Raw genomic sequence first — 23,333 nt, 5'->3', positions numbered from 1 at the left:
TGGAGATAGCGCTAGCAGGCCCCACTGAAGGGGAGTTCACTCCCCATCCCAACCAATCTCCCAGATATGCATTCCACTCAGCCTCCACATGCTGTGGTAAGACTGTGGTATCCAGTCATATACCCTCCTCAGCCAACTCTCTAACCTGAGGTTACCATGGCCAGTGCCTAGTGACTGCCTACGACAGGCTAATCCTGTTCTAGTCCTTTGTGAATACAGTATCAGAGATCAAAACAGAAAAAGTTCTTCACCTCATCATATAGTTTGGAGTGTCTTATAGTCTAGTAAGGGTAACAAAGAAAATAAAATATACTAAAGAAAGAAAATATATTCGTTTAGATGGAGATAAGTGCTACAGAGAAAAAAAAGCAGGTAAGGGAAATGCTACAATTCAAATGACCAGAAGACCTCTCCAGCAAGGGTTCAGAACTGGGCTGAGGCTGAGATGGCTGAAATGGCAGAAGCAGGCTTCAGAAGGTGGATAAAAACAAACTTCACTGAGATAAAGAAGCATGTTTTAACTCAATTCAAGAAAGTTCAAAATCATGATAAAACAATGCACGAGCTGACAGCCAAAATAGCCAGTATAGACAGGAACATAACTGACCTGACAGAGTTGAAAAACACTACAAGAACTTCACAATACAATTATAAGTATTAATAGCAGAAAAGAACAAATAGAGGAAAGAATCCCAGAGCTTGAAGACTGTCTTTCTGAAATAAGACAAGCAGAAAAGAATAGAGAAAAAAGAGTAAAAAGGAATGAATAAAAACTCCAAGAAATATGGGATTATATAAATAGACCAAATCTACAACTGATGGAGTACCTACAAGAGACAGGGAGAATGGAATCAATTTGGAAAACATATTTCAGGATATTATCCAGAAGAGCTCCAAACAAGCTAGACAGGCCGACATTCAAATTCAGGAACTGCAGAGAACCCCAGTAAGATACTGCACAAGAAGAATATCCCCAAGACACATAATCATCAGATTCTACAAGGTAGAAATGAAAGAAAAAGTGTTAAGAGCAACCAAGGAGAAAGGCCATGTCACCTACAAAGTAATGCCCATCAGAATAACAGCAGCCTTCTCAGCAGAAAGCCTATAAGCCAGAAGAGATTAGGGCCAATATATATATATTTTTTTTTTTTTTTTGAGATGGAGTTTAGCTCTTGTTGCCCAGGCTGGAGTGCAATGGTGTGATCTCAGCTCACTGCAACCTCTGCCTCCCGGGTTCAAGCAATTCTCCTGCCTCAGCCTTTTGAGTAGCTGGGATTACAGGCACCCACAACTACGTCTGGCTATTTTTTGTATTTTTAGTAGAGATGGGGTTTCATCACGTTGGCCAGGCGGATCTTGAGCTCCTGACCTCAGGTGATCCTCGGCCTTGGCCTCCCAAAGTGCTGGGATTACAGGCATGAACCACCACACCCAGCCTCAACATTTTTAAAGAAAAAACATTCCAACCCAGAATTTCAAATCTGGCAAAACCAAGTTTCATAAGTGAAGGAGAAGTAGGATCCTTTTCAGACAAGCAAATGCTGAGGAAATTTGTTACTACCAGACCTGCCTAACAAGAGCTCCTGAAGGAAGCATTTAATATGGAAAGTAAAAATTGTTACCAGCCACTACAAAAGCACACTGAAGTACACAGACGAGTGAAACGATGAAGCAACAACATCAACAAGTCTGCAAAATAACCAGCTAGCATCATGATAACAGGATCAAGTTCACAAAGAATAATACTAACCTTAAATGTAAATGGGCTAAATGCCCCAATTAAAAAATACAGAATGGCAAGCTTGATAAAGAACCAAGACCCATTGGTATGCTGTGTTCAAGAGACCCATCTCACATAAGCTCAAAATAAAGGGATGGAGGAAATTTTACCAAGGAAATGGAAAACAGAAAAAAGCAGGGGTTGTAATCCTAGTTTCTAACAAAACAGATCTTAAAGCAACAAAGATCAAAAAGACAAAGAAAAGCATTACAAAATGGTAAAGGGGTCAATTCAAAAAGAAGATCTAACTATACTTAATGTATATACACCCAATTTAGGAGTACCCAGATTCATAAGACAAGTTCTTAGACCTTCAATGAGGCTTAGACACCCACACAATAATAATGGCAAACTTTAACACCCGCTGACAATATTGGATCATCAAGACAGAAAAGTAATAACGATATTCAGGACCTGAATTCAGCTCTGGATCAAGTTGATCTGATAGATATCTACAGAACTCTCCACCAAAAAACAACAGAATATACATTCTTCTCATCACCACATGGCACTTACTCTAAAACTGATCACATCATAGGAGGTAAAACTCTCCTCAGCCCATGCAAATAACTGAAATCACAACAAATAGTTTCTCAGACCACTGTGTGATCAAATTAGAACTCAAGATTGATAAATTCACTCAAAACCATACAACTACATGGAAATTGAACAACCTGCTCCTGAAAGACTCCTGGGTAAATACTGAAATTAAGACAAAAATCAAGTTCTTTGAAATTCTTGAGAACAAAGATACAATGTATCAGAATCTCTGAGATGCAGCTAAAACACTGTTAAGAGGAAAATTTATAGCACTAAATGCTCACATCAAAAACATAGAAAGATCTATTTTTCCACATCATCTCCAGCATCTGTTGTTTCCTGACTTATTAATGATTGCCATTCTAACTGGTGAGATGGTATCTCATTGTGGTTTTGATTTGTATTTCTCTAATGACCACTGATGATGAGATTTTTTTCATATGTTTGTTGGCCACATAAATGTCTTCTTTTGAAAAATGGCTGCTCATATCCTTTGCCCACTTTTTGATGGGGTTGTTTTTTCTTGTAAATTTAAGTTCCTTATAGATTATGGATATTAGCCCTTTGTCAGATGGATAGATTGCAAAAATTTTCTCCCATTCTGTAGGTTGCCTGTTCACTTTGATGATAGTATCTTTTGTTGTGCAGAAGCTCTTTAGTTTAGTTAGATTCCATTTGTCAATTTTGGCTTTTGGTGGGAATGTAAATTAGTTCAACCATTGTGGAAGACAGTGTGGCAATTCCTCAAGGATCTAGAACTAGAAATACCATTTGATCCAGCAATCTCATTACTGGATATATACCCAAAGGATTATAAATCATTCTACTATAAAGACACATGCACATGTATGTTTATTACGGCACTATTCACAATAGCAAAGGCTTGGAACCAACCCAGATGTTCTTCAGTGTTAGACTGGATAAAGAAAATGTGGCATGTATACACCATGGAATACTATGCAGCCACAAAAAATGGATGAGTTCATGTCCTTTGCAGGGACATGGATGAAGCTGGAAACTATCATTCGCAGCAAACTAAAACAGGGACAGAAAATCAAACACTGCATGTTCTCATTCATAAGTGGGAGTTGAACAATGAGAACATATGGGCACAGGGAGGGGAACATCACACACTGGGGCCTGTAGGGAGCTAGGGGAGGGATAGCATTAGGAGAAACACCTAATGTAGATGATGGGTTGATGGGTGCAGCAAACCACCATGTCACATGTATACCTATGTAACAAACCTGCACATTCTGCACATGTATCCCAGAACTTAAAGTATAATAAATAAATAAACAAATAAATAAATAAATAAATAAAGAAGATAGAAAGATCTCAGGTAAACATCCTAACATCTTAACTAAAAGAACTAGAGAATCAAGACAAACCAACCCCAAAGCTAGCAGAGGACAAGAAATAACTAAGATGAGACCTGAACAGAAGGAGACAGAGACATCAACAACCCTTCAAAAGATCAGAGAATCCAGGAGCTATTTCTTTGAAAAAATTAATAAAATAGGCCACTTGTTAGAACAATAAAGAAGAAAAGAGAGAAGATTCAAATAAACACAATCAGAAATGATAAGGGGGATATTACCACTGACTCCACAGAAATACAAACAACCATCAGAGAATATTATGAACACCTATATGCACATAAACTAAAACATCTAGAAGAAATGGATAAATTCCTGGACACATGCACCCTTCCAAGACTAAACCAAAAAGAAAGTAAATCCCTAAATAGACCAATAATGAGTTTCAAAACTGAGTCAGTAATAAATAGCCTACCAACCAAAAAAAGCCTAGGACCAGACAGATTTACCCGAGGTTCAAAGAAGAGCTGATGCCATTTCTACTGAAATTCTTCCAAAACACTGAAAAGGAGGGACACCTCCCCAACCCTATGAGGCCCACATTATCCTAATACCAAAACCTGGCAGAGATACAACAAAAAAAGGAAAACTCCAGGCCAATATCCTTCATGAAGATCAATGTAAAAATTCTCAACAAAATACTGGCTGACCGAATCCAGCAGCACATCAAGAAGCTTATCCACCATGATCAAGTAGGCTTCTTCCCGAGGATGCAAGGTTGGTTCAACATATGCAAATCAATAAATGTGATTCATCACATAAACAGAACTGAAGACAAAAAACACATGATTATCTCAATAGATGCAGAAAAGGCCTTCGATAAAATTCAACATCCCTTCATGTTAAAAACTCTCAATCAACTATATATTGAAGAAACATATATCAAAATAATGAGCCACATATGATAAATCACAGCCAATATTATATTGAATGGTCAAAAGCTGGAAGCATTTCCCTTGAAAATCAGCGCAAGAGAAGATTGCCCTCTCTCACCACTCTTACTCAACATAGTACTGGAAGTTCTGGCCGGGGCAATCAGGCAACAGAAAGAAATGAAAGGTATTCAAATAGGATGAGAGGAAGCCAAACTATCCTTGTTTGCAGATGACAAGGATCCTATATATGGAAAACCCACCCAAGAGTCTCAGCCCAAGAGCTTCTTAAGCTGATAAGCAACTCCAGCAAAGTCTCAGGAACAAAATCAATGTCCAAAAATTGCTAGCTTTCCTATGCACCAACAGGCAAGCCGAGAGCCAAATCACAAATAAACTACCATTTACAATTGCCACAAAAAGAATAAAATACCTAGGAATACAGCTAATAAGTTAAGGACATCTTCAAGCAGAACTACCAACCACTGCTCAAAGAAATCAGAGATGACACAAACAAATGGGAAATCATTCCATGCTCATGGATAGGAAGAATCAATATTGTGAAAATGGCCATACTGACCAAAGTAATTCATAGATTCAATGCTATCCCCATTAAACTATCATTGACATTCTTCACAGAATTAGAAAAAACTATTTTAAAATTCATATGGAACCAAAAAGAGCCCAAATAGCCAAGGCAATCCTAAGCAAAAAGAACACTGGAGCATAATGCTACCCAACTTCAAAGTACATCACAGAACTACAGTAACCAAAACAGCATGGTACTGGTAAAAGAACAGATGCACTGATCTATAGAACAGAATAGAGAACCCAGAAATGAGACTGCATACCTACAACCATCTGATCTTTGACAAACCTGACAATAACATGCAACGAGGAAAGGATTCCCTATTTAATAAGTGGTGATGGGAGAACTGGCTAGGCATTATACAGAAAATTTAAACTGGAACCCTTCCTTACACCATATACAAAAATCAACTCAAGATGGATTAAAGTCTTAAATGTAAGACCCAAAACTATAAACACCCTAGAAGAAAACCTAGGCAATACCAGTGAGGACACAGGCACGAGCAAAAATTTCATGATGAAGATGCCAAAAGCAATCACAACAAAAGCAAAAATTGACAAATGGGATCTCATTAAACCGTAGAGTTTCTGCACAGCAAAAGAAATTAGAGTGAATAGACAACCTACAGAATTGGAGAAAATTTTTGCAATATATGCATCTGACAAAGGTCTAATATCCAGATCTATAAGGAACTTAACCAAATTTACAAGAAAAAAGCAATCCTGTTGAAAAGTGGGCAAAGGACATGAACAGATGCTTCTCAAAAGAAGACATACATGTGGCCAACAAAAATACGAAAAAAGCTCAGTATCACTGATTATTAGAGAAATGCAAATCAAAATGAAATGAGATACCAATCAGAATGGCTATTATTAAAAAGTCAAAAAACAGAAACTGGTGAGGATGTGGAGAAAAAGAAATGCTTTTACACTGTTGGCAGGAGTGTAAATTAGTTTGACCATTGTGGAAGACAGTGTGGTGATTCCTCAGAGACCTAGAGGCAGAAATACCTTTTGACCAAGCAATCCCATTACTGGGAGGGCAGGGGGTGGGAGGAGGCAGAGGATCAGGAAGAATAGCTAGTAGATTCTGGGCTTAATACCTGGGTGATGGGATGATCTGTGCAGCAAACCACCATAGCACACATTTACCTGTGTAACAAACCTGCACATCCTGCACATAGAACCCTGAACTTAAAACAACAGTTGGAAATAAAAAATAAAAGTTAGAATGGATTAATGCACATGCTTGAAAGGAAGAATGCAGACATTTATAATAATAACCATTTATCTCTTACTCATAACTTAGTAAAAGAGGCTGTTGGGACTGTAACAATGACAACTGTTCACATTCTTACATCCCATCCAAATTTCAAACCAACTGAAAAACCAATTGAGAAATGCATAAGACTGATGAAAATTAAAATATAAGCTTTGTTACTTAGATATGTGTCCAAACTCTGTCTTTCTCATTCTCCCTACACTCCCACCCCATCCCAACATCTGGACTTTCAGAAGCCCATTTAAAGAAGAACAAGGTTCTATAGAGTATGCTGGCTGAATCAGAATTGCAGCCTCACAGCCAGTAAGCCCTGCAAGTGGAGATAGACAAGTGTGGGCTCTGGTCCACGTGCTGCATGCCCAGTCATGGAGGTGGGAGCAAACACAGAACCCAAGCTTCTGAAGCAGACCATTGTAAAGGAAAGAATCCAAACATGTCTCTGGATCTCTCCTGTCAGAGAAAGTGCTCTTCCTCTCTCCTGAAAGCAAGGAGCAAGGATATGTAGGAATGGAGGCCAGAAGGGTTCCTCCCATTCTCATCCCTTCTGGGACAGTGGACATTTCTGTCCTCTGTGGAAATGTTAGGAGTATGAGAGGTGAGGCAGGGAAGAGATTGGTGCACCCCATTCTACACCCAAGGCAGATCTTAAAGGCCAAAAATAATTTCTTCTTTCTGAATGCCAAAGTCAAATAGACTGCATTCTTTTAATGGCAGTGGAGCAGTGCTGGCTCATTTCCCAAACATCCCTTCATAAAAAGATACTGAGCGAATAACAACATTGCTGTGTTTCCTCCCTCTTTTCATAGCAATAATTAGAATTCACTTATAGACATCCAACCAATAGCTTATAATTATGATTAGAGGGACTTAGAAGTGAAATCACTTCTCTAACAATAGTACTTTCACTGCAAATTCCACCAAAAAAATTAAAATCCTTTTATAAAATGTAAATTAAAAGACTGGCTAAAATAAATCTTTAATGAAAGTTTATAAAGTCCTGTTACACATACCCTAGATACCTCCATATCAATGCAAAGGTTTCTCAATGCTAATTCAACAGTGAATAAGCTATTTCTCATTGCTGATTCAGACAGAGAATTTAGCTCTATAGGTCCCAAAGTGCTTTCACTATACAGAAGCATCCTTAAAGCTGACTTCTGGTGCCTGAATTTAACATACTAAAGAGAAAACTAAACTATTCATAATACACCAAAATAGTAGTTTAACAACAGAAGCATCCTCCTGACAAGAGCACTAAGCATTCTTTGATGAAAGTAATATGAAAGATAAGTGTTTGCCTAAAACCATTCCATTGGAAACTCTTGACCTTCCTGGAGTTGTGATGTGTAGAATTTAAGAGTTCTGAGTGACCATAGAGAGAATCTAGTGATTCTCAACCTGGTGATTCTTATCCTGTCTCTCAATAGACAGAATTCCTATTAAGAATCACTACATGGAATAAGGAATGGCACTGAATGGAGTGTATTATATATATGAATGGTATCATTTCAGAAGCAAAGATTAAAAAGAATAAAAAACTCTCATTCTTCATATAAGAAAGCCAAGGCACAGAGAAGTTAAGTTTCTTCTTCAAATCATGTGGCAAGCTAACCAAAGTCAGAACTAGCCTTATTTTTTAGTGATTGAGGCTGGTGCTCTTTCCTCATGAGTAATTTACATTAAATACAAGGACTCCTTTTATTGGATGTTTTGGTAATATCTACTCTGTCCAAAGTATTAAAGATATGCATTTTTCATATGAGAATGACTATGCATAAATTGTGATGGAAAAATTATGCCAAAGCCCCTTACAATGCCCAGAGATGATTTTGGACTTGAGGAGGTAAAATTCCTCTAGATTTGTGCCCATCCAATGTGAAGGCAATATCTATATGTGTCTATGGCTCATAATTAATTTCCATTCCAGCATCTTGCTCTTTGAGAAACAGAGTTTTAATTTTATCTGGATTCTATGTCAATGCACTTATGAGAGGAAGACAGAAGATTCAATAGAAGGGCTAAGATTTACAGCAATGCCCTTGCCAAGAAGAAACTCAAAGCTAGTCTGCAGGGAAATCTGATATTTTGGTTTCCTAAATTTTTTCTTTTCACTTTTATCTGCAGATCAGCTGTGTTAACGAAAAAAATTAGACACTCCAGGAAATTTCGAAGTGTTTACACATGAAGTAGAATTTATGATAATTATTAGAAATAAAGATTATCATCAACCTCTAACTAAATAAAAAAGATACGTTAGGCCACATTCAACAGATCAGAGTTTTCTTCTGAAATAGAACTTTGTGGTTTGTTTAAATGACAATTAAATAATTTTTTTAAAAGAGGCACCAAAAAGTCTTTCCTTCATTCCTTCCTAGATCGAGGGAAGACTGTTGAACATTGTTCTCAGCCTTCTTTCCCATCTATTCTAAAATCAGTAACTTTGGTGGCTCACGCCTGTAATCCCAGCATTTTCGGAGGCCAAGGCAGGCAGATCACCTGAGGTCAGGAGTTCGAGACCAGCCTGACCACCATAGTGATACCCCATCTCTACTAAAAATACAAAATTAGCTGGTCGTGGTGGCACATGCCTGTAATCCCAGCTACTTGGGAGGCTGAGGCAGGAGAATCGCTTGAACCCGGGAGGCAGACATCGCAGCGAGTCAAGATCGTGCCACTGCACTCCAGCCTGGGCAACAAGAGTGAAACTCCATCTCAAAAAACAAACAAACAAACAAAAAAAAACAGTAACTTAATAACAGATCATGATTAACTTGAATATGGTGAGGACTTTTACAATGAATTTCCCACTACATACTAGTCTCCTTTTCTTTTTTCTTTACTTCTCTCCAGTATAACACTGAAATACCTTTTTAAGTAATGAAATAAACAAATCACCCCAAAATTCACAGACCCAAACTAGTATTTACAATTGTTGATGTACCTGCTCCTATTACTAGTATATCAATTAATCATTTATGAAATGCTCATATATATTAACCTATGTAATACCTTTAACTGCATCACAAGAAATATTCTATACAAATATTGAAAATATTGAATAGAGAAGAAAAACAAAACTTTTTGACTGTCCAGAATCACAAAAATGGTAAGCAGTAATCCCTCATCTCCTATTTTTGAACATCAGGCTTTATGTACATCTTCTACAATCACCTTAGAATGTTAGCATTTCTGCCAAGTAAATCTTAGTAACAACAGGAGAAGTAGCTTTTCAAAGATTATGCAATGCCCTTTAGATTTCTCTTTTGTGACCTATTCTAGACAAATGAAACCAAGCCATAAGAACCAAGCCATAAGTTCGAAGCAACTGGTCACTCCAGAACTTTCACTAAGAATAATCACTTAGGAGCTCTTCCTTGGACAATGTAAAAGAAATACTAGAACTCAAGCCTTTATAATAAGCTCTACTGTTATACCTATACTTAGGCTCACATAATTTAAGCATCAGAGTGGTTACATAAACTTAACTTCAGTAAGCTTTAGTTTTCCTCACCTATGATATGGCAACATCTACTTCACAGGAAGTTGTTTTAAATGAGGTAATATAGATGCCACTTAGCGAAGTATCGGATATCTAGTAAGTTCTTAATAACTATTACCAACTTATTTATATTTATTGTCATTTTTATTATTGTCATTAGTTCAATAAATACTTGCTCCTTAATATTAGTTTTTACTTCCAGAAAAAGAAAGACTAATTATATATGACAGCTTCTTTGCATTCATTAGCATTGGTAAAAATAATACGGATTTTGTGCACTTGGGGACCACTATATATTAAAAGATAATGGTATTCTGAAAGTTAAACATGTTTCTTGAAATATAAGAGACCTACTCATAATGATACATTAAACGCACATTAATTTCTAAGTGGGAAATCAAGCTGATAAAACAACTCTGATACACTGTTAATGTAGAAACCAGCAAAGGTAGCTAGGAACATCTTTTCCAACTAAGATTTCTTCTGCATATTCTCAGAAAATAGATGTGTGAATAGGTCATTCTGATTATGAGCCAAATTTTAACTTTCACTAGCGTTAGAAATATGAATGTAAAGAAACCAATAGTCATCCAGCTACGTTTTTTCTTAGATAATTCTAAATTTTAAAATTTGCATTCTACATACATATGTAATTATATTAATCAGGGTTTTCCGAGAAACATTTCCAATAGGAGACACACACACACACACACACACACACAGATTTATTATCAGGAATTGGCTCACGAGATTCTGGAGACTGAGAAGTCCCAACATGTACCATCTGCAAGCTGGAGACCCAGATGTGTTTCCCTTCCAAGTCCAAGGGAGTCAATCGTGTAAGTTCGAGTCTGAGGGCAGGAGAAGACTGATATCCCAGCTCAAATAGGCAGAGAGTGAGCAAATTCTCCCTTCCTCCACATTTTTGTTCTATTCAGGCCCTCAATGGATTGGACAATGCAGACCCACATTAGAGAGGGTAATCTGTTTTACTTAGTCTACCAATTCAAAAGCTACATTTTTTCCAGAGACACTCTTACAGACACATCCCCCCAAAAAATGTTTAACCAAATATCTGGGCTCCCTGTGGTCTAGTTAAGTTGGCATCTAAAATTAATAAACACAATAATTGTTTTATGTTGACACCATTGAATTTTCTATCATGACTGGAAAATCAAAACAATTTTCTCCTAATTGTGTATTTTTCAGTTACCAACATATTACCTGCTCTAAAATTAATCTGAGATCATTAAAATGTTTTAAATTCCAAATAGAAAAAAAATAGGGTAGAGAATTTATTGAAATAATAAATTTAGTAAGCAAATATTTTTAAACAATCTGGAGGCTAAAATATCAGAGTGCACTGAAATTGTGCTCGGTGTTCCACACAGATGGTACTAGTGAGAATTTACCAAAGTAACCATTTTTCTGGATGGGATCTCTATAGCCACTGCTGTTAATCTCTGCTCATATCTCATTACACAGCTATCGGATGCTTGTGAGATTTAGAATATTTGTATATTTTTAAACAGAAGGCAAGTGCTTCTCTGTTTCAGAGTTGTCATAGCCAAAGGATATGTCCTCAAATTAGACTGCTTTTCTTAAATGTGTATTTATTGTGGAAGCTTTTTCCCACGGTCCAGTTTAATAACTGATATTTTAAAGATAAACCATTATTTTCCCATATGCTGGTATTGATGTTTTACAATTATGGAATACTTTACTTGATTATCTCTTTATATTTGTGTGATTCATATAAGAATTCTTAAAGATATGGATTTGGGAAGGTATAGAATTCATCACACAATTTTATAATAATTTATGACAGCCTTATATGTGTCAGTCCATTACTTAGAGCTTTAAATTCCACAATCTCATTTAATCCTGACAATAATCCTGACACACAAAAATATTTTACAGAGAAGGAAACAGAATTGCCTAGAGTTTGGATCACATGTTCAGGCCAATCTGACAGTAAGTAGCAGAGCCAATGATGTGTCTATAACCTTGGAGTTATCCTGCGCTATCTCTTAAAGGTTGGTCTCATAAAGATTTCTACTTTGAAATACACTAGACTACACCTTCTGATAGACCCTCCTGCTGAAAACCATAGAAACAATAAAACAAATGCAAGAAGACAAAAGGAAGGAGGAAAAGACATTTTAAATTACTGAGTTGACAAGAAAGTTCAGGAAAGTTTACAAGCCAATGATAAAGTCAAGTCTGAATCTGGAGAGACAGGAAAGCAAACCAGTTTTCACCCCAAGGACATGTACCCAATCCTGGGCATATTGAGCTTATGTCTTGATGAATAAGTAGAGCACTGGGAATAGGAGACAAAGTCCAGGACCCACTGAAGATGGCAGTTCTAAAAAGACACCTTTGCATAAACAGGTATCTCAAAGAGTTATACTTATGGTGTAGCACTGGACTAGAAATAAATGAGACCCTTACAAAAAGACAAGAAAAATTTCCATTTGCAACCTTTGAACTGGATAATGTTAAAATCACCTTTGAGAATTTGTAATCATGAGCCATTCATATCTCCAGGACACTTCCAAAATCTTTAAACCAAGATTTATATGAAATTCATCCTGAATGATTGGTAGCCCCATGCTGCTGGCAGAAGAAAATCCTCTGGATGAATGTATCTTCAAGAATACCTCAGAGAATTAATGTTGAGTTCCATTGAACAGGAACTTGAAGTAAAAAAATCTCAAAACTCACAAGAAGGCACAAAAAGAGAGAGCCAGAGCAAATAAGACTCCAGAAATTGAAAATATGAGGCTCATAATATAAAAATAAGTTTGTTTAATATATTTAAAGCTATACAAGAGAAGAATGACTAAGGAAAAAAGTTTAAAAAATGACTAAGTTGATTTGGTAGACAGAACTTTTAGCAATACTATAGAAATACTATTGAAGAAGAAAAACATGGTAGAGGAACTGACCCTCCCCAGATACCAAGGATTGCAATAAAACTACAGAAAATAAACATTTATTATTCATGTAAGATTGATCAAATAGACAAACAGAAAATAAGAGAAAATTTCTACTAGGAAATGTAATACTAGAAACAGAGCTGGTATTGCAAATAATTGGAGAAATAATAAAGAATGAATTTTCAAACCCATTGGATCTAGATAATACCGTTTAGTGTGTGGCTTCTTTCAGTCCTCACAATAATCAAGGAAACCCAGTTTCCCCTTCAGTCAATGAACCATAGTTCACTATGAGCCAGTGAACTGATATGTATCTAAAAACAGAATGAAGAATCACAATTTTCTACTGTGCCAGTGGGGGTCAGCCTTCTGCTCATCACTTTACAGGGTTCTTACTGTTATCATTACTATTATTATAAAAGTTGAGCCATATTCTATTCACTAACCATATATCCCACCCAAGGACATAATCATGATCTATTACTCATTACCATAGGTTCCTGTGGGCAAAGACACTGTTACTGTCACTCTGCTTTTGCTGTTCATTATGGTAAATACATATATTTTGCATCTGATGGTTAAGGGCTGCCACTTAGACTATTTTGTTTTAGAATCTCATCATCTCCATTGATATTATGGAGCCTTGGATCATGGCACCATTTCTAACTAACACATCCAGACTGCAGAAGAAAACCATCACAAAGTTTCTCAAAGATTCTGTTGCTCTCTATATGAGTGCATTCTTTATTGCCTAAGTGAAGGTAGTGTCCCCAGCCCCACCCCCAGGGTACATAGTCATGTGATAGATTCTCAGATATGACATAGTAATGCACAGATACATTCTCATTTCTCTGAGTTTTCTGATTCCTTCCTTCATACCATGTCAAGGACATTCTGGTATGTCCACCCTTGTTTAATGGTAACCATTGTTGCTTTCAAGATTCAAGGAACCATCACAACAAATTATTATAATCAGCTCCAGAGATCTTTGCCAGAACATCTACCTTCTCCCATCCCGCAAGTTTAACACTCAGATAGCCAGAGGTGTTCAGGAAAACAGAGCTGGTTTTCTCAGTTGCACAGGATGTTTGCTATAGAAAACCACTGTAACTTAAGCAATCCATCTTTCGGAGAATAGGTCAGCAGTTTATTTGCCATCTACTGTCCTTCATTGGTCAAAGTTCACTCCATGGTGAATAAGCTACTTCTCATTTCTGGATTGTGTTATTTGCTCCTCTGAACAGCCACTGGGAAGAGAAGCCAGAATTTCAGTGGGTCCAGTTGGCCCACTGGGATCTACTCTTTCCAAGTCCCCACCCCTGCTCCCTCCTTATGCACATTAGTTATAGTAATGACTTTGATTATCTACCTGGATGTCCTAGTAGTAATGGACAGTAAAAACAAACATCATCTGCCAGGAAACTGCTTTATGTAAAAACATTGCAGAGTCCAATCACGATAAGACCATCTTTCTTTATGAAGAGAAAAAGGCCTACTTCTGATACTCTTGAGAGATTCAAGGTAATGGAAGTGTTCAAAATTCTTAGGTTCACCCACTTAAATATCTCCATCACCGGCCTTGGTGTCCTACTCTTTCCTTATCAGGGCCCTCACTTTCAAAAAAAAATTATTGTATGTATGTAGTAGATGTGTATCTTTATGGGGCATATGAGATATCCTGATACAGGCATACTATGCATAATAATCACATCAGGATAAATGGAGTATCCATCACCTCAAGCGTTTATCCTTTGTTACAAATAATCCAATTATACACTTTTAGTTATTATACAGTATACAATAAATTATTACTGACTGTGGTCACCCTGTTATGTTGTACTTATTCATTCTAGTTAACTATATTTTTGTACTCATTAACCATCCCCACTTCTCTTCCAACCCCACTACCCTTTCCAGCCCCTGGTAACCATCATTCCACTAATCTCCATGAGTTTAACTGTTTTAATTTTTAGTTCCCACAAATAAGTGAGAACATGTGATATTTGTCTTTCTGTGCCTGGCTTACTTTACTCAACATAATAACCTCCAGTTCCATCCACGTTGTTGCAAATTACAGGATCTCATTTTTTTATGGCTGAAGAGTACTCCACTGTGTATATGTAACAACATTTTATTTATCTATTTGTTGGTTGGGGGACATTTAGCTTGCTTCCATATCTTAGCTATTGTGAATAGTGCTGGAACAAACATGGGAATGAAAATATCTCTTCCATATACTGATTTCCTTTTGTGTATATACCCAGCAGTGGGATTGCTGGATCATATGGTAGCTATATTTTTAGTTTTCTGAGGAACCTCCAAACCATTTTCCACAGTGGTTGTACCAATATCCCACCAACAGTGTATGAGGGTTCCCTTTTCTCCACATCCTCACCAGCATTTGTTATTGCCTGTCTTTTGCACAAAAGTCATTTTAACTGGGGTGAGATGATATCTCATTGTGGTTTTGATTTGCATTTTTCTGATGATCAGTGATGTTGAGCATCTTTTCATATACTTGTTGGATCAGGGCCCTGACTTTGGAGATGTGATATTTATTTTGTCTTCCTTACAGTTGTCTGTCATATTTATAGTAAGACCCTAAGCCTGCTGGCTTTTTGTTTTGGTTTAGTTTTTGTTTTTCAGTCTTCCTTAGGACTACTACAGAAGTCTCCTGGCATTCGTGGCATACCTTATATAATTAATTATTTGACATGAGTGTATCACTTTTTTGCAAGTTCCCCAATGCCATCAAAAACAACCATCTCATGCCACAATTCTCACATTATTTCTTCTGCCTTCCTATCAAATGCAGTAGCCATTTTATTTCCAATGGTTTGCCTTTATCTGCACCTCATCCTAATTCACCAACAATGAAATTTTAGTAACTGTAAGGCCAGGTATGACACAGATTATGGCTACTCCCCACAGCAATAACATTTAGGTCCCTATTGTTCTCTGCTATGCAGGCAATTTAGTATCCTGAGAGTGTGCTTTCTAGGACCTCTCTTGATATCACGGTTTGATGGGAATCTTTAGCCTAAGTTTCTTAGAAAACAGCACCTGAGGTAAAGTTTATCTGCTTAACATTTTATTGAAGTTGGGAGGTATAATCCTGGGAAAACGAGAGTGAGGGAATGAGGCAGAAAGATCATTATAAGGTAATGCATTACCCAATTAGCCACAGCCTTATAAAAACACAACTGATTTACTTAATCACATATGATGTTTGCTATATGGAACCACTATATCTCTTAAGCAGTCTGTAGAGGGGATACAGGCCAGTAGTTTTTCAGCCAGCTCTTTTATGTTTTTTGTCTAACTCCTTCTCATAACTGGGTTGTGTCATTAGCCCTTCTAGTCAGATAATGGAGAGGAAGCCAGAGCTTCAGTGAGTCCAGTTTGGTTGAACCTACATACTAGGGCTGCCACAGCTCCAGACGTGGAAGACATAGTAAAACTTTTGCTATAGCCTGGCTCTCATTCTGGCCAAGAATCAGAATAATGGTTGAGGGCTGGGAGGCAGATGGAACCAAGTAGATCTGGGAAGCACAAAAATTGGCTAGTATTAAGGATATTTATTATTGCATATAAATGTCCAAGAATAGTTCAGGTTCTAGGGCTGTTTGACTTAGCAGTTCAATGCGTTCATCAGGGTCCTAGATTCTCTTTATGTATCCATATAGGATGGCATCCATCAACCCAAGCTTACTTATCCACATGGTAAGGAGGTAGGAAAAACATTTCCTGTCTGCATCAGGCAAGAGAGAAAATCTCTTCCCCATTCTTCGACTTTAAGAGATAAGAATATACCCTATTAATGGAAGAATACCTCTAGTTTCAGAATGATGCAGAATAATTGTATATATAAAAATTACAACACTTGGTTAGACTAATTTCATAAAGCGGAAGTGCTACTCATATATATATGTACATACGTATGTATATGTGTATGTATATAGATATAGATTTTTTTTTTTTTGAGATGGAGTCTTACTCTGTCACCCAGGCTGGTGCAGTGGCACATTCTCAGCTCACAGCAAGCTCCACGTCCTGGGTTCAAGCGATCCTTCTGCCTCAGCCTCCTGAGTAGATGGGACTACAGGTGCCCCCCACCACGCCTGGCTAGTAGAGACGGGGTTTCACCATATTGGCCAAGCTGGTCTCAAACTCCTGACCTCGTGATCCGCCTCCCTCCACCTCCCAAAGTGCTGGAATTACAGGCATGAGCCACTGCACCTGGTTGTTTTTTTTTTTTTTTTTTTTTTTTTGAGACGGGTCTCGCTCTGTCACCCAAGCTGGAGTGCAATGGCGTGATCTTGACTCACTGCAACCACTGCCTCCCGAGTTCAAGCGATTCTCCTGCCTCAGCCTTCTGAGTAGCTGGGATTACAGATGCCCGCCACCACGCCTGGCTAATTTTTTTTGTATTTTTAGTAGAGATGGGGTTTCACCATGTTGATCAGGCTGGTCTCAAACTCCTAATCTCATGATCCACCTTCCTCAGCCTCCCAAAGTGCTGGGATTACAGGCATGAGCCACTGTGCCCGGCTGTTACTCCTGTATTTTTTAACCTTGCCCAAAAGGTGTCAGAAGAAACAAATGTGTTGTGCAGAAAAACAGAATTAACAGTTTTTTGACCTTGTCGTTCTCTAGTAAAGTTGGCAAGTCTATGTGCTTCTAGGCCTCTAGAAGTGCAACATCACAAGCTATTTCGTGAATCCCACTCACATTCTAAAATAATTCACCAACTTCCTTCTCACAGAAATAACACCTTTATTTGGACAGTCTAAACACTCTCTGTCTCAAAAAAAGGTTAGATATGAAAAATATGATTAATATTAACCTTTATATTTAGAAAAATGAGTGTAATCTATTTTAAGATAAATTCTAAAGAAATATGAGTAAAGTTTTCCAGTGGCATTGATAATGTAGACTTGAAATCTCGAGATTCCTGGATTCTATTCCCAAACTGCCAACCAATTAGCTTTATGACCTTTGGCAAATGACTTCACCTTTCTAAGTCTCAGTTTTTTCATCTATTAACTGGCTAAACAAGATGATCAGAAACATTTCAGTTCTAACAAAACAAAATGTTCCTTAATTAAAAACATTAATATATTGACTTGTTCATTGGCATCTGAAATCTGAAAATCTCAAAGCTCAATCCTGCTTGGATGTTATACTGGATTCTTTAAGAGTCAACACTGATGTCAAAAAAGAGAATTTGACATTAAAACATAAGATCTTCTGTTGTATTTCATTTATCTTGTACATATCAGGAGTGAGGGGTAAAATTAACTGTAATTTCAAACTTCTCTTCCAAGAGAGAAGAAAGATATTTTACTGGTAAAAATAAATTCTGAATGCTTAGAGCCTACTTTGCACACTAATAAAAAATCAAATGAAAAAAAGCAATTTGATTAAATTATGTGTGCCTTTTCCTATGCCAATGGAGCTTAACTAAGCAAACAGAAGCAGTGAAGTAAATCAATGTTGGTTTATTAAAGATCAGAATTCAATATCTCAATGGTTGAGGGGCTTATGCACCAGAGTGCTCACTGTTTAGCTTTTCTTTGCAAAGAAAGTAAACATGGCGGTACCAAGGAGAAACTTGTTCAGAGAATGACACTGACAAGCCAGGTTTCTCAAGGTGGAGGACCCTTGTGGCTCTCAGTAGATATTTTTAAGACAGAATATAAAATTTATCCTAATGTCTCACATTTCAGCTCCTCTTCAAAAATATTTAACATTTTCTAAAAATTATTATTTCCTTAACATTTGCATTTTTCATCAGTGAAAGCAACTTTCACCTCCCAATTAAGAAATGAAAACTGAAATGCTTTCACCTGTTCTCATACGGCTTACCAAATATTTGGTGAAGAAGTCAGAGATTAATTTCTCATTCAGATCCATCCTACAATGAAGTCATAAATAATAGTAAATTTGTAACATCACATTAATCTCCATGGCAACAGGCTTACTGCGCAAACAGAGGATTATGACTTCACAAGAGAATCAAACAGAGGGAGAGAGTGGGTTGCAAAGAAGAAAGCTCATTTTCAAACTCATATAATCTACAGTAATTGCACTGGGAATACAGGCAAAGCCTAGCAAAGCAAATTGCTTTTCATAGAAATATTTTTTTTTTCAAGTTTGTTCCACAATGAAAATCTCTCTAAATTGCACGGAGTGTTGGACATAAAGCAATTTTAATACATAGCCAATGTGAGACAAGCAATCTGGGATGTAAAGGTTTGAACTGAGACTGACAGCATCATGAGAAAAACACTATGCTTCCAAAACAGCACTATGTAGGACTGAACAAAAACAAAATACAGAAATGCTACTAATGTGTTTACTATCCACGCATCTAACATTTGTAAAGGAATCGGCCTCTTTATCTTTCCCTTCCCATTTTACACTCTCTCAAACACATTCTATAAAAATTATACTTCCTTTTTTGGAATCATTTCCACTTTGGAGAAGTTGCAATACTCTTATACCTAAATAACATCCTTGGGAATTATTCATATGCAAATTAGGTTAAAACATTTCTCCAACTATTCTTTCCTCCAACTGGTATTCTTTCCTGTAATCTCCTTTCCTTGTTAAAAGAAAAATCCTGCTCACAGTAAGCCTAGAGCTTTTACAGAAGTCTATACTCAGGCAATAGTGCTGAGATTTTTCTAAGATAAGAAATTAAAAGCCACAACTCCAATAAAGCAGGGAGTCTGGGTTATACATTATTGGTTGTTATTGTTGTTTTTGAGTTGAGTTATGCTTTGTACCGTTTTGTTTGGCTTGCTTTTCTAATAAAGTGGGAAAGTCTTTAAGAAAATAAGAAAAATAAACCACGTGAACTAAAATGATCTGTCAGTGATACTCGGGAAAAGGGAGGGTTAAAATAATAATTTAACTAGAGGCCAAAAGATTACAAACTCTTCTAAGTCTTCTAATATTTATATTGACATAGGGCATGAGTATTCTAAAAAGCAGCCTATTGTGAAACAGTCAAGACTTCTTGCAGTATTTTCATGGAATATCCCCCTAAATTCCCATCTGCCTGTGCAGAAGGCCAAAGACGACATACAACGTATGATTAAGGATAACTGAGTGTTCAAACTACTTTGGAGTTGGCAAGGAGCGGAGTTCATTAATGGTTGAATTAAATGGTTGAATTAAATATTTGAGGCAAATGGTTGAATTAAATATTTGAGGCAAGAAAATGATCTGACCAAGTCCTCAGAAAACATTATACCAAGTTGAATGACTTGAGCCTTTTACATGTTTGAAGTCAAACAGAATACCAAGTTCTTGAGGCTCTTATAACTAGATGGACATTGACTGATAATGCCACAGCATATGCTGTATTTTCTTTCCAATATCTAGTTGATATTACACTTTCAGAAGAGACAGCATCTAATCGTTCCTCTTCCACCTTCCTACCTGCCTTTAAGATACACCTAAGTGGACAAATATAGGGTTGACTTAATCAATTTGGTGCCAATTTCATAACATTCTCTTGAGTCAAGATCAAAGTAGAAATATGGATTTTGTTGTGTTTTAATAAGCATCAGAAAGAGTGAGACTACAATTCTTTCCAGACCCTCTTTAGCCAACTTCCGGAAAGTCTCCCTTTTACTTTTTTAAACCTTCCTGGCCTTTCCCAGAAGTTTTTCAAGGTTGAGTTAGAGACAAAAACTGAAAAGATTCAGTTCCAATGGCTTCTTTTCTGACATCCACACTCAGTTTGCTCGTCTTTATCACTGTGGACAAGAATAATTGCTTAGGAAAAAAAATCAAATTAGGACCCAAATTAAAAATATATTTATAAACAGTAATTACACTGTGCGAATAGTTTCAAGAAACTTGAGTAACATAGGTAAATATTTAACCTATAAAATAGTCCCTTTTAGTCAATATTTGAATAAATTCAACTTATTTAACAGTATTATTAATATTGAAAGGAATAATAGAAAAAAATAACCATAACTACTTCTTTTGGGCATTTATCTGTCATAACCAGATTTTGTGCTATGTACTTTTTATGCATTACATCAAGTAATCCTCATCCCAATCTTAAAGAGTTGATGGGTATTAAGAGTTCCATTTTATAGATGAGGACATTAATGCCCAAATAGATTAATAATCTCAAGTTTACAGAATTCATAAATGATAGAATTAGGATTAACTCATCTCGTATAATTTATTTTCTTTTCAGTGACTTCTGCTTATAAAGTTTCTGCAGCATAATACCAAACCAGAAGACAATTAAATCTGAAAAAGACAGCAACTTTGTCAGATGGGCTTTAAAAAGATCTGAAACTCTGAGGCTGATCTATATATATAATATGTGTGTGTATGCACATACACACATACACTCACATATATACATATACACATATATACATGACATATCGTGTGTGTGTGTATTTATGTGCATGTGTATACACACATATACTCATATACACATGAGTATATGCATGTGTATACACACATATACTCATATACACATATACTCATGTGTATACACACACATACTCATGTGTATATATATGCACATACATACACGTACATATATCACATGATGTGTCATGTATATATGTGTATGCATATATGTGTATAAGTGTGTATGTACACACACACAGAGACATACACACATATCAGCCAATAAATACTTCACACCTCAAGGGCAAAGAGGTATGACTACCCTTCTCCAATCCCATCTTCCCTATTGCTTAAGAGACCTTTCTGTGAATTCTTTCTTGTTCCCATTCTGCCCTTATAGTTGCTGAGAGAAGAGAAAATGAAGATAAACAGCAGGGCCAGAATTTAAGAGTCTGCTGCTCTTCAAATTCTCACAATGAAAATCCTTGGAGAGCCCTTGAAATATTTAGATATCTCAATGGCAAAAAAAAAAAAAAACCAAAAAAACAGATCAACATATCAAATTTGAGTGCAGCTTAAAGGCCAATGAAATGATTCCAAATCCTACTTGCCAAAGCAAAATGTATTTTATTAAAAAAAATGGTCAAGCTTTATTTGATAGCTTTTAAAACTAGTTTTGATCATTCAAATAATGCCTCCAAAGGAAACTAAATTAAAATTGTGACTTAAATGTTAACATTTTTCATAGCAAGTATATTAATTTGAGGTAGGCTAGATTTATGGCATAGTTTGTAATCTTATGTGTTATATGCATGCCTTGTCATTCATAAAGGCTACTTGAATAATCTATGCATAAGGTATATTTATGCTCTTTTAATGGAACTTGAAACATTACCATTTGAAATTATTATTTAGATTTATATTTAAAGTATCTTCATTTGTAACATTTTATTGGTTACAGGACTAATTAGATGTGGTGACCTTGGTCAGGAATATAAGCTTAGTTATGATGCTACTCTATGCTAGCCAGCTAGCTAGCTTATTGGTGATAGAGGGTCCATTTTAAGACAATATCACTTGAAACTTTTCCTGTTCAAATATTAGAAATGCCTTGGGTTACAAAGAGCAATAGCTTTAGGTGAAGGTTAAACAAGTCAATTAAGACCAAGCCTATATCTGCTTTATCCGTGAACAAGGCTTTGTTGTTAATAACAAAACAACAGTGAAGCTGGTGAAAGGTTAGGGGATAATGGGGAGTGGGTCAAGGGAAATACTAATTTACTGGGAAAGCTCCAATAAATGTTGGCCTCACAGAGTGCTGTTTTCAGGTTGATAATGATTTTTTAAAATTTCTTTTCATCAGTATCATATTGGATCTCAGGAGAGAAGAAATACTGGATCTTTTTTCCCAAGACGTATGAGAGAAAATAGGAAAATAAAGACAATGGAAGACCAGTTCTCGAGATCATTTTCAATCTGGCTTTGCCTATCTGTCTGTGGTCCTCAACACGGCATCAGTATACTTCTCTCCATCTGCAACTTTACCAGAACAACATAATAATGCTACCATTAATACTTTGTCCAAGACACTGTGCTAAATTAGCAATAAATATATATTTACTTTAATCTCCACAGAAACCTGATGATTGGTTGTAATTATCCTCATTTCACAGATGATAAAATAGAGGCTGAGAGGCAATTATTAGCTTGCAAAGGTCCTAGTAAGGCCAGTTGTCCACTACACTACCCTGCTTCCACAGCATCCCAAAGCCCTTGAATCTTGTAAACTTCTTGTACATTTGCTATAATCAACTGTTGATAAGGAGAGGTTTTAGCCAAAGGAGGCAAGTTTTACAAATCTGAGAACAATACAAATGACTGAGTAAAATGGTTAAATCATCAAATCCCAAATTGCTACCTTCAGATTGCTGTGATTCTTGAGCTAAAATAGTTTTGCAGAGGGGGGACTCTTAAGCTAAAACCCAAATAGGAAATTTTACTTTTTCCAAAGGAACCCTGGGAATATAGCCCTTCTACCACCCTATGGTAGGAGAGCA

General features: G+C 36.5%; 1 long non-coding RNA gene across 3 annotated transcripts in view; it reads right to left on the bottom strand.

Annotated features, from left to right (window-relative positions):
- Positions 1-23,333, bottom strand: part of LOC105376107 (uncharacterized) — a 378,142-nt gene that overhangs the window by 27,468 nt on the left and 327,341 nt on the right. The window lies entirely within an intron of this gene.

Source organism: Homo sapiens, chromosome 9 (genome assembly GCF_000001405.40).
Source record: "Homo sapiens chromosome 9, GRCh38.p14 Primary Assembly".
In the NCBI taxonomy this organism is placed as follows: domain Eukaryota; kingdom Metazoa; phylum Chordata; class Mammalia; order Primates; family Hominidae; genus Homo; species Homo sapiens.
The sequence above is the reverse complement of the archived record's forward strand: the minus strand, read 5'-3'. Positions and strand labels throughout refer to the sequence as shown.